This window comes from Homo sapiens, chromosome 3, assembly GCF_000001405.40.
Source record: "Homo sapiens chromosome 3, GRCh38.p14 Primary Assembly".
Lineage (NCBI taxonomy): Eukaryota > Metazoa > Chordata > Mammalia > Primates > Hominidae > Homo > Homo sapiens.
The window spans coordinates 162874989-162892879 of record NC_000003.12 but is presented as its reverse complement, the minus strand read 5'-3'; the positions used below and the strand labels follow the sequence as shown (position 1 = coordinate 162892879).

The 17891-nt window shown below is 35.2% G+C and overlaps 1 annotated feature.

The window, feature by feature from the left end:
* Positions 2167–2336: an enhancer, noted in NCBI's record as "experimental_66156 CRE fragment used in MPRA reporter constructs". NCBI's record gives its function as "activates a minimal promoter by MPRAs in K562 erythroleukemia cells, with activity observed for both the introgressed and non-introgressed 3:162608417 variant alleles {active_cell/tissue: K562}" and the evidence as "EXISTENCE:reporter gene assay evidence [ECO:0000049][PMID:34662402]".

Here is a 17891-nt window from a genome sequence, read left to right as displayed (position 1 = left end):
CAGACTCACAAGTGTCAAGATACAAATAATAATGGAATTTCTCTAGGAGAGTTTTATAAGAAAGTGTGAAACACCTTTGATACAAAGCACAAAATAGTGTTTCAAGATCCTTAGGGTGTTGCGTTTCCATTTCTAGCCAGAAACCTCTGTGACCAGTAGCGCCATTGCCTGAGTTTTGCCCAGGTCCACTGGGCTCATTTCACCCACTCGGCCTGGCAGGATGCACTTGGCTCATGCTACCAGCCTGGATCCCATGCCTGCCAAGGGCATACCAGGCGTAGAGTCATTAGGAGTGTGTAAACAGGTGAGCATGGGGTCCAGGCATTGTGCATAGTCAGGCACAAGGGCTGCTGCAGAGGGGTGGGCAGCTCCATATGCTGGCACAGATGCTCCTCTCTGCAAGGCTGCTGCCAGACCAGGTGCACCGTAAGCAGTTTTCACCAATGAGGAATGCAGTGGCACCTGGAAGCTTGGAGACTCCAGGAACTGCAGGGCCCCAAAGAGGGAGTTACAGCCCTGGCTTGGGGAATTCCCAGGTCTGGGATCCCCAAGGGGCTGAAGCTCTTCTCTCTACTTCACTGACAACATGGCGAGCAAGGGGTGTGTTTCAGCCCTGTTTGTGTTACAGCTCTTTCAGCCCTGCCATTTGGCAGGTCTGAGTTCTTTTCCTGCACCCCGGAAGAATGAGGTCCACAGACAAGTAGAGGGTGAGCAAGGTAAATAGGAGCTTTGTTGAGTGACAAAATAGCTCAGAGGAGGCCCTGGAGTGGGTAGGTCCACTCTGCAGGCAGGTGGTCAAGTCAAGTGTTGAGCTTTCAGCAGAGAGGAGGCCCTGTAGCAAGTAGCTACTCTCTACAGGCAGGTCTTCCCGTCGTCTCTGTGGCTCTTGGCAGATAAGAGGTCCTGGGTTGGGTAGTTACTCTCTGCTACTGGTCCTCCTGACTTCTGCAGTTCTTAGCAGAGAGGAGGCCCTGAAGTGGGTAGCTCCTCTTTGTAACTGGTTGTCCAGATGTCTGCTCAAATCTGATTGAGCCTGGGGCTTTTATGGGCCTCAGAGAGGAAAAAGTGCATGCTGATTGGTCCATGGGTAGCCATGGACAGGCCCAGAAAAGGCACCACAAGTTCCCACTCCAGTCCTTGGAAGTGGCAGCCCAGCCCCCAGCCTTCAGGCCCTTCCTGGCTTCCTTCCTATGCTCGCTGGCACCCAAAGTCCAGAAGGGGGCTGAAGTGGCAGGGAGCTGGCATCTCAACACTTCCCCAAGAGTTTGCACACTTGGCTGGGCTGTGACAGTGCTCAGGCTTGGCCATGACTTTGCTCCGAGATTGGAGTGGGTGCTGACAGCAGGGAGATGCCAGGCAGTGGGAGCAGGTACTTCCAAGCCTGCAAGGACAGAGGGGGGCCTTCCTGGGCCCCCATGAGTGCAGGGATGCCCTTGGTCTGCAGCCATAGTTTGGGCAGCTGCATCTGTGCCTGCAGTAGGGTACTGGGGCTCCTGTCTGCTCCATGAAGTGAGAGGCCCTGGTCTGCAGCCACAACTTGGGTGGCTGCAGCTGTACAGGGCAGCTCCTGCACCACCAACTCAGAAGGGTCAGGGATCCCACTGTTAACAGCTCCCACTGGCTCTGTGGAGTGTGCAGCTCCAGCCTCATCTCCCCTCTGTGGCTGACATGATGGCAGTGGTCACTCCAGACTGGCTGCCACTGGTATCAGTAGTACACTTGTGCAAGGTACAAAATAGTACAAAACAGAAAATTTGGTACAGAGTACAAAAATAATTCAAAATGGCTGTACCTTTTTGCATTCCTACCAGCAATAAATAAGAGTTTCTGTTGCTCTACATTCTTACCAGCATTTGGTACTGTCAGTGTTCTAGAATTTGGCCACACTAATGTGTGTGAAGTGATTATTGTTGTTTTAATTAGCTTTTCCTTGATATTATAAGACATGGTACATCTTTTCATATGTTTATTTATTCATCTAATTTTTTTAGAGAGATGTCTGTTCAGGATTTTGGCACAGTTTTTAATCTTGTGGTTTGTTTTCTAATTGTAGAGCTTTAACTGGTTTTTTTGTATATTTTGAATAACAAAACTTTATTATACATATCTTTTGCAAATGTATTCTCCCAGTCAGTGTCTTGTCTTTTATTCCCTTTGCAGTGTATTTAACATGACAGCTTTTTTTTAAAATTTAATGTTGTCCAGCTTATCAATTAGTTTTTTATTGGATCATGACTGTGGTACTGTATCAACAGGGTCATTGCCATCTATGTTTTCTCCTATGCTATATTCTAGGAGTTTTATAGTTTTCATGTAGGTCTATAACCTATTTCGAGTTAATTTTGTTAAAGGGGTAAAATCAGGGGTAAAATCTAGTTTTCTTTTATGTGAATGTGCAGTTGTTTAAGCACCATTTGTTGAAAAGACTATCTTTGCTTTATTGCATTGCCTTTGCTCCTTTGTCAAAGATCAATTGACTATATGTATGTGCATCTATTTCCAAGCTCCCTATTTTGTTTGATTAATCTATTTTTCCATTTTTTTCACCAATACTATGCTATCTTTAATACTATAGCTTTACAGTAAGTCCTGAAATTGGGTAATGCCAGCCCTCCAACTTTGTTCTTCAATATTGTGTTGGCTATTCTGAGTCTTTTGTGTCTCTGTGAAACTGTAGAATCAGTTTTTTAATACCCACAAATTTTTATTAAGATTGCATTGAGTCTTTAGTTCACATTGGGAAGAAATGACATATTGACAATATTGAGTCTTCTGATCCATTAAAATTAAATATCTCTTCATTTAGTTAGTTCTTTTAGAACTTCTTTCATCAACGTTTTGTAGTTTTCCTCACATAGAGTTTGTACATATTTGTTAGATTTATGCATGAGTATTTCTTTTTGGTGAGGGATAATGGGTGCTTTCTTTATGGAAGGTTATTATTGACTGATACAATCTTTAAAATACATATAGAAATAGTGAATAATCTAGTTCTCCTGTGTGAGTTTTGGTATTTCATGCCTTCCAAATAAATTAGTCCACTGCATCTAAGTTATTTGATTTGAGGGCATAGATGTGTTTGGGGTAGTTCTTTATTATTATAATAATGTTTATGGAGTTACCAGTAATGACCTATCTTTTACTTATGCTATAGATATTGATATTTTGTGACTTTTTTATTTGCCTTGGTAGAGTTTCATCTGCTTTTATTCAAAAACCAGCTTTTCACTATCTTTACCTGTTTTCAAATTATGATTTCTTCTATTTCATGATATCTTTTCTTTTGCTTTCCTAAGGCTTAAATTGATTGTTTGTCCTTGGTTTGTAAAGGTGAAAGCTTAGATCATTTGTGGTCAGGAGTTCTAGACCAGCCTGGTCGCGCCAGCTTTACTAAAAATACCAAAAATTAGCCTGATGTGATGGCATGCACCTGTAATCCCAGCTACTCTGGAGGCTGTGGTTTAAGAATTGCCTGTAACTGGGAGGTGGAGGTTGCAGTGAGCTGAGATCGTGCCACTCCAGCCTGGGCAACAGAGCAACACCCAGTATTTCGGGAGATCAAGCTGAAAGGATCACTTGATCCCAGGACTTCGAGACCAGCCTGGACAACATAGTGAGACCCTTGCCTCTATAAAGAAATTAAAAATGAGTCAGGCTTTGTGGCAGCATGCCTGTGGTCCCAGCTACTCAGAAGGATGAAGTGAGAGGATCCCTTGAGCCCAGGAGGCCAAGGCTGCAGTGACCTGCTTTTGTGCCACTGGACTCTAGCCTGGGTGATAGGGCAAGACCTCATCTCAAAAACAACCAAATGAACAACAACAACAAAAAATGAAACTGGCACATGTACTCCTGAACTTTAAATAAATTAAAATAATAAAAATAAAAATAAATAAAATTTTAATGTATATGCCAATAACAGCGCAGAGGAGGTAGGTGGAAGAAAAATCATACTGGGCTAAGAAAATGTTTCCAGACAATAACTTGTATCCGCAACAAGAAAAAAACTCAAAAATAAGAAGCTTAACAAAAGAAACCTGTTAATGTATAATTGCTCTGCTTTCTTCTTTCAGCTTATTTAAAACGAGTAAAACCATATAAACAAAAAACTAAAATGAGCAGAGAATATTGACAATTCAGATACCTTTTTTATATAAAAAACCAAGTGTCAAATTTCAATGATTTGCTATATTCCCAGAAATACCAACAAAAGTAAGTCTATTCTACAATGTTTGAATGAAAAAGTTTAACAGAATTGCTATTTTTGAAATAGGGTCTGCTTTTCAGTAGTTAAATATCATAGTTAAATATTATAAGATAACATTTTATTTTGCACCCTTTCCGTTGTGTTAATCCATAAATTGAAGTAAGCATAGGGAAAGATATGCTATTGGAGAAAGCCTAAAAGGGCAGAAAAAATAACAAAAAGAAAATCTTGTTCAGTTCCTCACCCAGTTGAGTGGTCGGTGGGGGGAATGGGAGATAGAAGAGGAAAAAGCAGGTGATCAGAATTAAGTTTTGATCTTCTTTCTCTAAATCAAAGTTATCCACATAAACCCCAAGAGAGGATGAATTCCTTCCTTCTAGAAGGCACTTTAGAATGGGGAGTATTTTATTACTGTGTTATTCCTTTTGTTCAGCTCCATACTCTCAGGTCATAAATTGACTTTCACAAGAATCCTTGGAGCTCAAGAATTCATTGGTTAAATCAGCAACTCTCAACAGTATATCTATGATTGCTTTTCAGTTACTTCTAAGGTGATTATGCAAAGCTTTACGTTCAAGAAGTCCCATACAATGTGCTTTATTCAATGGGAAAATGGTAAATTCCAAAAGTGAAAATTGAGGTATCATTTGCAGGAGCGGCATTAATGCATGATCAATAGACAAAAAAAAAAAACTGTTTATAAAATTTTATTTAAATTGTAATTGTTTGCCTTTTCCATTTTGGGGTTAGATTGCCTAAAACAAGATGCTGATAAATCCAAGTTAGAATCATCAGATGAGCCACATAATTTATTATCCTATATGATCATGGGCAACAATATCTTTTGTTATCCAATTGCCAATGATAATAAAATAGAGAAAGGCCACTGTTGCTTACTTGAATGCATTACAATTGCATTGTATTTTATATCCTTCTATAGACTCTATATCAATATTTATAAATTCTGCTTTTGTCGATTAGAAAATTTACCTAGCTCTCTTTACAGAGTTCTTCTAAGCCTTTGCTATTTCCTTAATATTGCATTTTTCTATACCTAGCTTTTTTCACTTTCCAGTTAAACACATCTTTAATTTCTTGATACTGTAGATCTATTCCATTACACACACTTAGCTACAGTAAATGGCCACTTAGCCTGTCTTCTCAAAGTTTTAGAGTGCTTAATTTAATTTATATAGTTTATACAGTTCAATATAACTTATGAAGTAGGAGTATTTTAAAAAATAATTCTCCTTTCATTTCATGTTATTAGGAATTTTGGGGATAACATGGAAAAATATTTCATGTCCATTTTTTCTCTGGTCTGGCATATCTCCTTCACCCCATGCCTATTACCCCCAGCTATGAACAGCAAAGAATAAGCCAGTGTGGATCATTGCCTTAGGGAAAGAGACAGCCCCAGGACACACTGCTGGACTAAGACAGGTTCCACATACGAACACTCTGGGAGGTTTGTTATCTGTTTTGAAAATCAGCAATTATATTAATTCACATAAACTTTGTATGTTCATATGTATTTATATTAAATGTGGGAATACTTGCTTATTATAAAACTTGATTAATTTATATATTTTTCTCATAACTCACTTTATTTTTAACGTGTTGTAATAGTTGTTTGCAAAACAATTGTTTGGTTAAGAATTCAGCCTAAAGCATGGACAAACTTTAAACCTTAATTTGTGTGTTGTATATGGTTCTTTCTGATATGCTGCAAATTAGCCAGCTAGTATAAATGTAGCATTTGTCAATTAATCTAGACCTAGCTTACTTATTGAAAACATTTTTATTTATTTATTGAGACAGAGTCTCACTCTGTCACCCAGTCTGGAGTGCAGTGGCGTGATCTCAGCTCACTGCAACTTCCACCTCCCAGGTTCAAGCGATTCTTGTACCTCAGCCTCCCAAGTAGCTGGAATTACAGGCATGCATCACACCTGGCCAATTTTTGTATTTTTAGTAGAGACAGGTTTCACTATGTTGGCCAGGCTGGTCTGCAACTTCTGACCTCAAGTGATCCACCCACCTCAGCCTCCAAAAGTGCTGGGATTTTAGGTGTGAGCCACTCTGCCCAACTAAGAAAATATTTTAAAAGAAGATTATAAAATAATGATTTACTGTAAAGTATTGCTATATAATCTCTTTTACATAACTTACTGGAAAATCCAGTATATCTACATGACTCCTATTTTCTCAGAAACAAGTGCAGTAGTGCATAATGAAAGGTCAGAAAGTTCTTAATCTGGTTCAAAATTTCCCTCAGCAGTGAATCACTTTTATTCCTGGCATTGGTATTTCTGCCAATACAACCAAACAAATGAATATTTTATACTATATGTTATAAAATCGTGTTCATGTATTCATCTTCATGGATTAGCATAATTGAAAGGGTGCAGAATAAAATATCACGTAGTGAACATAATACATATTTTTTACTAATAATATGTGTATGTATCTTATAATTATTGTTTTTAATAGAGCAATGTATTATATTATTTACCTTGATTATGAGAAATATGAAAGATCACTTCTTAAATAGAAATCAGGAAATGTGTTTTTTTCATAGATAACAAATATTGTACCATATAGTCACTACTCTAGATGACAGCTTTCAGTACATTTAAACCATGTATTTATCGCTCAGTGCAATGGCTCAGCCCTGTAATCTCAGCACCCTGTGAAACCGAGGTGGGAGGATCATTTGAGCCCAGGAATTCAAGACCAGGCTGAACAACAAAAGGAGACTGTCTCTCAAAAAATAAAACAATTAGCTGGGCCTGGTGGTGCACACCTATAGTCCCACCTACTTGGGAGGCTGAGGTGAGAGGATCCCTTAAGTTCAGAAGTTCAAGCCTGCAGCAAGCTATGATTGCACCACTGCACTGCAGCTTAGGCAACAGAGTGAGACCCTGTATCTAAATAAATAAGTATAAATATGTCTATATATAATTTATATATATATATAATGCACATATATAGATATAACTAGAGTTATATGAAATAATACAAAAAGTAAAATATTTTTAAAATAAATAGTTCTTTTTTATTAGGTATTTCTAGTCATTTGACCTCTTTAATTCCCTCTTACAAAGATGTTTTCATGGACAGTAATCACATTTATTCAATGTGGTTTATTCACAATGAACTTATTTAAATATTACCTTGTTAGAAATCTATACAGATATTTATATTGCATGTTCTAATATTAAAAAGGTAAATCACTGATATAATGAATTGTAATCTCTAGAGTTGAGATTTCACTAGCTTTTTTTTTCCATTAAAAATTGTGTCATTCTCAGTTTGCATTCTATTCTAAGGCCCAGAGCAGTGTTTCTTCAATTTTGATGCTCTAAAATCTAGTCTAATTACCACTGGAAACGTCACATTGTCTATTTTTTAAATTCTTTATTATTTCTATATCTGTATATTTACCTATACACCACCACAATTTGCCCTCTCCTTTACGCAGATGTGCCTACAAAAACAATTATAATTCTAGACATTTTAAAAAGATACTATTTTACTAGTTCAGAAAATATCACTGAGATACATCACTTTTTATATTTTAATGAAAATCTTAAAAAAATAAACAAAATTGATACTCTTTATGTCACTAAAGCGGGTTTTATTTTATTTTTAGCACATTATATACCATTCATAAGAAGATGAAAAAGAATAAAAGGCAAGGAAATAAGCATCTATAATATTGTTATTCTCAACTACATTTACTTTGAGGAACTATAACAGAAAGATTGTAATTTTAATTTAAATTGCATCATTTTACATATTAGATACATATATACTAATATGTCTCTATGAATATATCTCTAAATATATTTGTATTCAGAGACAGAACCAGAAAGGGGAATATAGTCGAAGTGTAAAAAATATATATGTTTGTTTAGATACAGACCCACACACTTTTTTCCCTGTCTCAACATTCCTTGCAGAGACTAGTGAGCTTTGAGAGGTTCTGGGGTCAGATGCCTGTGTATTCATTTACAGAGACGATAATGATGCTCCTGACAGCACTGAGATACTGCCCGCTGTATGACAACAGGCTTGAAAGGGCATCACTGAAGGTGTTAATAATGAGGACCAGCAGGAGGACATATTTCAGACTGAGAAGCTGGGAGAGTATTATCAGTCTGATGGAACAGGCTGAGCTCTGGATCTGTGTGGATGTCACTCTTCTTTTATTGAAAATCCTGCATGAAATTGGTACCTCATATTCTAGGATGGGCTTTTTGCAGCAGCTAAAGAGATTGCAAAATATTCTTCATGCAAGAGCAAGTCTGGAGAATGATAAATCCACAAGTAAAAGTATAATTTTAAAAAGCAAGAGACTTGAGGAATTATCTGGAGATTTTAATTCTATCATAAAACTAAGATAGCAAATGATGCTACATTTTAGTGTATATTTATTTGACACAAAAATTAAATATTAACTTTCTTGGCCTACCGTCAACCCTTCTAAAATATATGTGATAGAGGGTCATTGTTATGCTTTAATTAGCAAGTTTATCAGTTCTACTAAGAATGTTTTCCCCAGGTAAAATTTGCAGTGGAGTCCTGGGTTTCACAAAAGAATTATTTAGAAAGATTTTGGGACTAGATTTAGGTTCCAAAACTCCCTTGATCTAGGCGCCAACACAGATGCTGTGATATGTAATAATGTATCACTGAAGAGCAAGTTTGTAGACTGCAAGGGTGTATCCTAAACTCATAATTAGATTTTTAGGGGGAAAAAAGGTAGAGAAGAACCAGATAGGAAAATGAGGCTGGCTTTATTGTGCTGGTTTGCACCAAGGATGTAATTGTACGTGATTCTGATTATGTCCCTTCAAGGTACACCCTTCTTTGAAATGGGAATGTAACTAGTCCTAGGTTGCTCTACAGGAACATGCTCTGATATGATACCCAGGAGAAAATCTATCAGGCTCACATAGGGCTCTCTAATTTGTACCAGTATAGTATCAGGTGTTAGACCTTAAACAGGTTGTGATTTTGGGAGCATCCACTTCGTAATTAACCACTGTGATCATCAATACAAGAAAACAGATTATGTATTATGATCATTATACATTTTCATTAAGTTCAGATTCCTTACAAATTAAATCAATTTTATATAAAAATTATGATGAAATCCAATTAGTTTACATTCTGATACTTTCAGTTTCTGTTTGGATTGTCCCTTCAAGTCTACCTTTATTGGGAAAAACAAAACACAACAAAAATTATAAAGGAAACAAGACTGTGAAAAGAGTGACTGGAGCATTGAAAAAATCCTGCAAAGAATGGGAAATGGAAGAATTTTGCAGTCCAAGAGGAAAGTGACCCACAGTGGCTAAAAACCTATCCCTGTAAGTGACAGATCAAAGTTGACCCTTTTCAGAACATTGAGGATGCTGCTTCCATGGACTGAAAACCTCATTAAAGAATTGATTTCATTTTTGGTCTCCACTTCCTTACTTCCCAGTTATTTTTAACTCACTCTAGCTGGCTTCAGTTCCAGTCACAGCTTTTAAATACCAAGGTCTCCAATAATCTGTATGCTTTTAATTCCAATAGATACAGTTTGTTCTTTTTTGTTAGCCTTTTTAAAGCAATATTTGACATATTTGATCATTTCTTCCTTCAAAATTCTCTTCCCCCACTAACCCCTCATGTTACTACAGGCTCCTGTATTTGGTTATTTTTACAGCTATTCTTTCTTAATATTTTTTATTGTTCCTTTTGTTTGTCTACTTCTTAAGTATTAAAATTACTCAAGGATTTTATGGATCAACTTCTCTTTTAATTTTAATCAATCTTCCTGCACCTCTTCACCTGAGTTATTATATATTCTGATGTGAAATGCTTTTTTCTCTAGACTTCTGGCATTGATCAATTTTCCTAGCACCATGCTGACCATTTCTTCTGCTATTCTTACAGGTTTCTCCTCTTTTCTACTTATACGTCTCAGTGTTAAATTCTCAGGAATCTCTTTTGGACTCTAACAGTGTCTCTTTAATCTTCCTAAGTAATATTATTTATGTGGATGCTCCACAAGATTATATTTCTAATTTATCCCTCTCCCGGAGCTCTGGAATTGTTTATCCAACTGCCTTAGAAATTTCTGCTGAATTGTTTTAAAAGTATTTTAAGAACACATGTCAACCATAAAGTTTTTGATACTCGCAAATCTTATAATTTCTTTGTCTTTCTCATTGTAAAATATGGCACTACCATCCTCCCAATTGCTCGTCAGAAAATAACTTTATAAAATCCTATTTCTCCCAGAAAAATATCTTAGTTTGTCTGCTTGGTTTAAAATCAGTTCAATATTTTAGCCCAACCTTCTCTGCTGTGTGTGTGTATTTTTCCTATATTATATTGGACTGTGTTATCTGAATGTATTAATCCATTCTCAGACTACCATAAAGATACATCTGAGGTTGGGCACAGTGGCTCACTCCAATAATCTCAGCACTTTGGGAGGATGAGGCAGGCAGATCCCCTGTGGTCAGGAATTCAAAACCAGCTTGGCCCACATGGTGATACCCCATCTCTACTAAAATACAAAAATTAGCCGGGCATGGTCACTTGTGCCTGTAATCCCAGCTACTTGGGAGGCTGAGGCAGGAGAATTCCTTGAGCCTGGGAGGTGGAGGCTGCAGTGAGCCAAGATCATGCCACTGCACTGAGTGACAGAGTGAGACTCTGCCAAAAAAAAAAAAAAGATATATCTGGGACTGAGTAATTTGTAAAGAAAAGAGGGTTAGTCAGTTCATGATTCATGGTTCTGTAGTGGTCTATACAGGCTCCTGCTTCTGGGAAGGCCTTGGGAAACTTACAATCATGGTGGAATGGGAGGGGAAGCAGGCACATATTCACATAGCCAGCAGGAGAGACAGCAAGCAAAGGGGGAAGTGTTACACACTTTCAAACAACCACGTCTCATGAGAACTGTATCACTAGAACAGAAAGAGGAAAGTTCACCCCCAAGATTCAGTCACCTCCCACCAGGCCCCTCCTCCAACACTAGAAATTATAATTTTATGTGAGAGTTGGGTGGGGACAGAGAGCCAAACCATATCACTGAGGAAGTTAAATGAGTTTGCTTTCCTTAAAATGAGAATTATAAAGCCTAACACATTCCCCTGATAAATAGATTACATATGCAAACAATTAAGAGTGTACATATATTTTATAGTTCATTTTTTTCTGTTTTTCTATTTATTGTGCATTGTGCAACATGTACATGTCACCTTCTTATAGAGGAAATGCCTGACATTTTCCCGTGCCCCTTCTCTATCTCACTACTCTCTGGTGCTATCTTATTGCACATATTTATCAATAGATTGGGTAAATGTCTCCTCACATTTAATATTTGTGACAGCAGGAACTCTTTTTGTTCTTTTAAACACTGTACCCAAGTTCTTAAAAGTTTTATCTAAAGTAATCAATAAGTAGTGGATGAATGAATAAATTAATGAACATACTCTTAAGCAGAATATTCTATGAAAATATAACTACAATATCTGTTTATGAAATAAAAGAGTGCAAAACATAGTCAAATTATTCATTCACAACTTATGGTCATCTATGCAAGTCACTCGGTTATCCCTAGTTTGTATATCTTTCCTCCTTTTGTGCCCAAGTGAGATAGAGTGCCCTTGCTTCAATAAAGGACTTTCTAATATAACACATATGATGTTTTATAACCTTTCTAAATTTTCTTAAAGCATGGCTGTTGATGTTGTTTTGAAATAATGGTTGATTTACATTGATGCCATCTCTTACTAGATTACTATTTCACTTAATAGTAAGCATTTTTCAAGAACTATTGTGAGTTAAGAATCTGTCATAAATTTACAGTGTTAAGACATGCAAATATTTTCTTAAACTACATTTTTGTGAATAACCAGAAATATCTCAAATACAAGCCTACCAAATTATATCTTACTACTCTTTTTTTCTTTTTTCCTGAACAGTAAAGACTAACTCTTCAGTTTTATTTCATGGTAGAATGCTATGTCTTTAAAAACAGCCTGTATTGAGGATATTGCAAAATTCTACATGTCATTGAATGTAGCCCCTCTTTCTCTCATTTCTTTCACATGGGATTAAATGAAATCTTATGAGGTCTCACCTTGTGGGTATAGCAGCACAAAAAAGCTAGTCATATAGCTAGAGAGAGATTTTTGGTAAACTGGGATTAATGGCAGGGCTTTAAGACCAAAACTCATGCCCTGACTATGAATGAATCTCTGCTTTGGATATTTCCCACAACTAGACACAGTCATGCATTACTTAACAACAGAAGAAGATTCTGAAAATTGTATTATTAGGCAATTTTCTCATTGTGCACACATCACAGAATATACTTAACATAAACCTAAATGGTATAGCCTATTATAAATCTAGGCTATATGATATAGCCTATGGCTCCTAGGTTATCATTCTGTACAGCATGTTACCATATTGAATATTATAAATAATTACAACACAATGGTAAGTATCTGCGTATCTAAAAACACCTAAATATAGAAAAAATCCAGTAAAAATACAGTATTATAATCTTATGGGACCACCATCTTATATGCAGTGTGTCATTGACTGAAATATTTTTATGTCTTGCATGATTTTATCCATAAATGCATTTTTGATTTTGCATTTGTCACTGTTCCTCTCACGTTTAGTTCCCTAGAGAAATTTAGAATAGATATGGCTAGACAAAGGATTCAGTAATATCTGTTTTGTTAAATAAAATTTTATAATATCAATACATCATCCTGTATTCAAATACATATTGTGTGTCTCTGTATGACAAAATTACTAGTCTTGCATTAGTGTTAGATCAAACTTTAAGCCCCCTTTCATTCTTGAAACACTCTTAAAATCCTAGTCCAAACAACATGTTTCAACTATGCTTTATAGTAAACAAAGATCAAACATTTAAATAAAAATACTTTAAAGTATGAAAGGAATATATATTTTAATAGAAATATTGACAAGAAAAGAAAACATACACAAGGTGATGAAAATAATCCACATTAAAACGACCAACAGCAAACAACTGTGCAAAATTTATTCTTTTTATTTATATGTTTTTGTGCTATTAGAAAAATAAATATTATTTTTTATTTTAAGGTTCCAGGATTCAATTATCTAAACAATAGGCTTCTGAGGGGATATAAATGCCTCAAAGTTGTAATTTGTGTAACTAGTCTTTATGTGCACTGGCAGTGTCTGGTGTCTTTGAAGTGGTCAAGGCTTAATTACTCAGAGAGATGGTTTATCTCAATTTACTATTTTCAGCAATTGAAAGAAGCAGAAGACAACCTTTAAATTAAGCAGAACTTTCAGAGGACTGTTGTGCCCAGTTTTATCCCAATACGCACATGTTCTATGTGGGATTTGTATTCCTAGCTCCAAAACTCCCAGATCCAGTGTCTATAAGTCTCTAGCCTCAATATTACACAAAATCACTATTTCTCTAGCTTCTGGTAAAACTTTAGGAATTTAATCTGAGTTCTTCCAGATTTTACAGGGCATTAAAAACTTAAAATGTTCAGCTATTAAGCCACTTTCACTGAATATTTTCATGTTTTGAGTACTTTTATCTTGGTTTAAAATTTAAAGCTGATCTTCTAAAGCCATTGCACCAATGCCATTGCTTTCTGCACATACACACTTTCACCCTGACACAACAAGGAAACACACTATTAGTACTTCCTGCATATTTTCAAATGCCTCAGAATGGTAACAAAATGCCATAATCAAGATTCAAATATCTGCTATCCAAACAAAGGAATTTCATTTCTGTAAAACATCAGAAATTCTACTGTTTTGTTATTTCCCCCATGGTCTTGGTGATCTTTGCAAACTGTGAGCGCCTAACTTCTGTGATATTTTCCAATGAGGAAAACAAAGGTGGCCTTTTTTTCCAGAACATTGATAACTTTGGGCATTACTTGTTCCTTCATTTTATAGAAGAGCTGTTTATTTTTGTTTGTTTTAAAATGCGATTTTAGAGAAAATTTAAAAAGCATATTCCTTACCCCTCTTTTCTTTAGAATTTATTGGGAATCACAAATTTAATACTATCAGAAACCTATAAGGAGACCTTTCCTCATTCTTGTACATATATCTGCTGAACACTCTATGTCCACTAGGATTGGGCAAAGTCATATATAACAATGTTTCAGAATTCCTCTTATCATAGTTTGCTGATAATTCTCCATCCACTAAAAATTATGAAATATGACATTTATGTTTATGCATAAATTCTCCATCAGGGTCACACCCATTGTCTCAAAAATAACCATTTCCAATTATTAGTGTTATAATTTAGTTTCTTATTAAAAATTTACTGCACTGTAATTGTAACCCATTTGATGATGAAGCTTCCATAATTAGAAAATAAGAATTTTACACCATAACTTATGAATATACATACTGCATTCCTTTCACTTTTTGAAATAGAATTTAAATCATCCCACCAAGATGGTAGAAATTCAGTCTCAGTCTTAAAGAGAACCTTCTCCCAGACTATCAGGAAGAGGTGATACTTACAAGGGTCTCATGCCATGTAGTAACATATGAGGAAAGCCCGTGTGTCATCGGTCTACATCAGATACCTCTGGTGTGCCCATTTTCCAAATATTCAGTCTTCCTTAATGTCAGGTGGCTCCCCTGCTTTTGGGTCATATTGTGTGCCAGGGATTTTGTCAAGTATCTCTGCTTGAGACTTCTTTAATGTACCAAAGCTGGTCTTCCACATATACTCTGGCTAGTGCAAGGAAGTAGGTCATGGGTCTGTTGTCATTTTGATTTCCCAGTCTTTAAAAGATTTATAAAAACTTCACCTAAGTCCACTTCTATATCTCGAACTTGGCATTCTCCTTCTTTTTAATTCCTCCATCTGAAAGGATTATCTTTTTATTTTCTTCATACATATTAAATGTCCTTTAAATTAAAGGCAGTACTGTATTGTAATAACATTATTTTTTTCCTTTGCTCTATTTGATTATGTCTGTATACATATATAATATCTCAATGATTACCTATGTCTCTTTTTGTGTTTAGGCAGATCTTGAATTAAAATTTTGGTTCCAACATTTACTTGCAAATTAGTTAATGTCATAGTTTCACTTTTATCTCAGCTATAATATTAGAATCATCATGTTGTGATTATGAGCATTGCATAGATAATATGTGTAAATTATATATCCCAGTATAGGACACACCATAAAAACTTAATACTTATGAACAATTACTGTAGTCATTATCACTAACGTTGACACCAAATGAAATAAATGTATATTATACATGAAAACTTTCTCACTTTTCATTATAATTTACAGCCTCATTTTTATATTTATTTCTCTGTATCTTACATGTCTAGGGTCCTATCACGGTTACATTATTCCTAAAATCATTGAGAACTTATTAAGCAATCATTAAATATTTATTGCTTTAATGACTAGCTATAGGCTTTTAAGAGGAGAAATCTGGATGGGGATTGAGGGTAGAGGTATTTTTCTTTAACTTAAACTTCAGTCTGAGTTATGACAGAACCTGAAGCAAAAACATATATGTTCATATCTATCATCTTGGAATGAATAAGGAAACATACCTATTACTGATTATCAGAACACAGCTGACTTTTCTAAATTATTCTGCCACTGTGATGAACACTTTACAAAACTGACACAGCATCAAATCAGAAAATGTCCAATTTGACATTCATAGGAAAATTTACTCTGACATTGTTTATTTGGAATCTCGGCATATAACTTTTATGATTCAGGCTTCATTTACACTCAAATACTGGGGAATGAATATGTAATTCTTGCAGTATGTCATCCTCTGGTTACACTACTCTGTTTCCATAATCAAGCTGTGACTACTCACAAATACGAAAATACTTTAAAAGTGTAGAATATATTTTAAATAAAAAATAATAATGTTAGTAATAATTTATGAAGCAAAGTAGATTTTCATGTTTTAGGATCAACTGTTGGCATGGGATAGCCTGATCCTGGGCAGAGCTGCACTGTTCACCAGTGAGGTTATGGGGTGTGGTATCCAGATGACACCATTTTGCTCTTTCTCAAAGGAAGCAATTTTGACATTAATGTAATAAAAAATAAAAATATTGATCAAGGGTAAAAGGGACATCAAGGACAGAAACCACCTTGTTCTTGGCACTTAAAGATGACAAAAAGTTTATTCCCTCAGAATGTGACAAATTATCTTTTTCTTGGCAAACTGATAAGATGTTTTACCTGCTGTCCTATACCATGCTTTAATTTTTTTTTACTTTTATTTCTTACAAAACTCCAATTATCATAGCATATTTTTAAAATCTAAATTTTAAAGAGTTTCAATTGTGAATGAGAGTGTTTGGCAATATTTTAATCAAAACAAGTGACATTTAAAAAAAATGGGTCACAGGATTATCAATTGATACAAAGAATACTTTCCTTAAAAAATTAGTACTTGGTAATTTTTCCTAGAATGAGGTTTTAAATAAGTACATGCCTATAGATACTTTCTCAATAAACTTTTATCAATTTCTATAAAGACAAAATAGTGTGTATAGCACTTGCACATGTACAAAAATAAGTTAAATAATATCTAAAATTCTGGTAATTTAAGCTACCATTTGTATAGAAATAATTTGTGCAAGTGTTTTGTACAATGTGAAATTATAAAATTAAGAAAACTTTTTTCCTCCATAAAGCTATTCACTGTTTTTTTAGACATTATTACCTTTCAAATAATATACCACCTACAAGTTCACATAATGCAGAAAATCTGGTGACTTCAGATTATACTATTAGCATGTATCTTCTCATGTATAATTTATTATTCTGAAAGTTTAACTTTTTATTTTCTTTCTTTCTTGGACTGTAGGCATAGTGTTCAATTTCAGCTAAGCCTTTCATCTTCCTTCCATCTAGATTGTGAAGGTCGAATTGAATATAATATTCCTTATAAAATCAAAACCAAGGTCAGCCTTTGAATTTTATGATCAAAATTTCCCACAGGAGAGAAGGCTAAGACCTGGGAATCAATCCAGCAACTGAAACTAACATGAGCTAATTACTGAACACTTTCTTCTGAAGGTTCTGTTTTAAAAAATAAAATAAATCCCCAGATTCAAATTTTACAGCTTTAAATACAAGACAAAAATAGAAACAACAAAATGATAGTTATTTCTTTATTGTAAGATGTGATAGTTCAATATACGAAGTTTTGTATCAAAATGATCACATTGTGTCCAGCAATTTGGCTTCTTTATCTGGATTCAAAGCATTGAAAGCCACTGTACAGCATTGTGACATGACATGTCCTATAAAAATCCTCATTTATGCTTCAGTGTCAGTTTGTCTATGGAAATTCAGAATTGATTTTCTTCTTAATGGATTATTAATTAATGGGTTGAGTAAAGGCAAACCTCATCTTTGAAAATGTCCTTGTAAATGAGAATTAGGGAAAAAAAGACAAAATACTCAAGTTTGGCTTGTAAATGTATACTCCACCTTTCTTGTACTCATTTCTTTTATTGTGTGTTTTTGAGTTTAAAAAAAAACTTTTAAAGTTATTATTAAAAGAATAATAAGTAATTAATTCTCTTCATATCCAATCCAATCCACTTCCCAGAAATAAGTGCTATTAA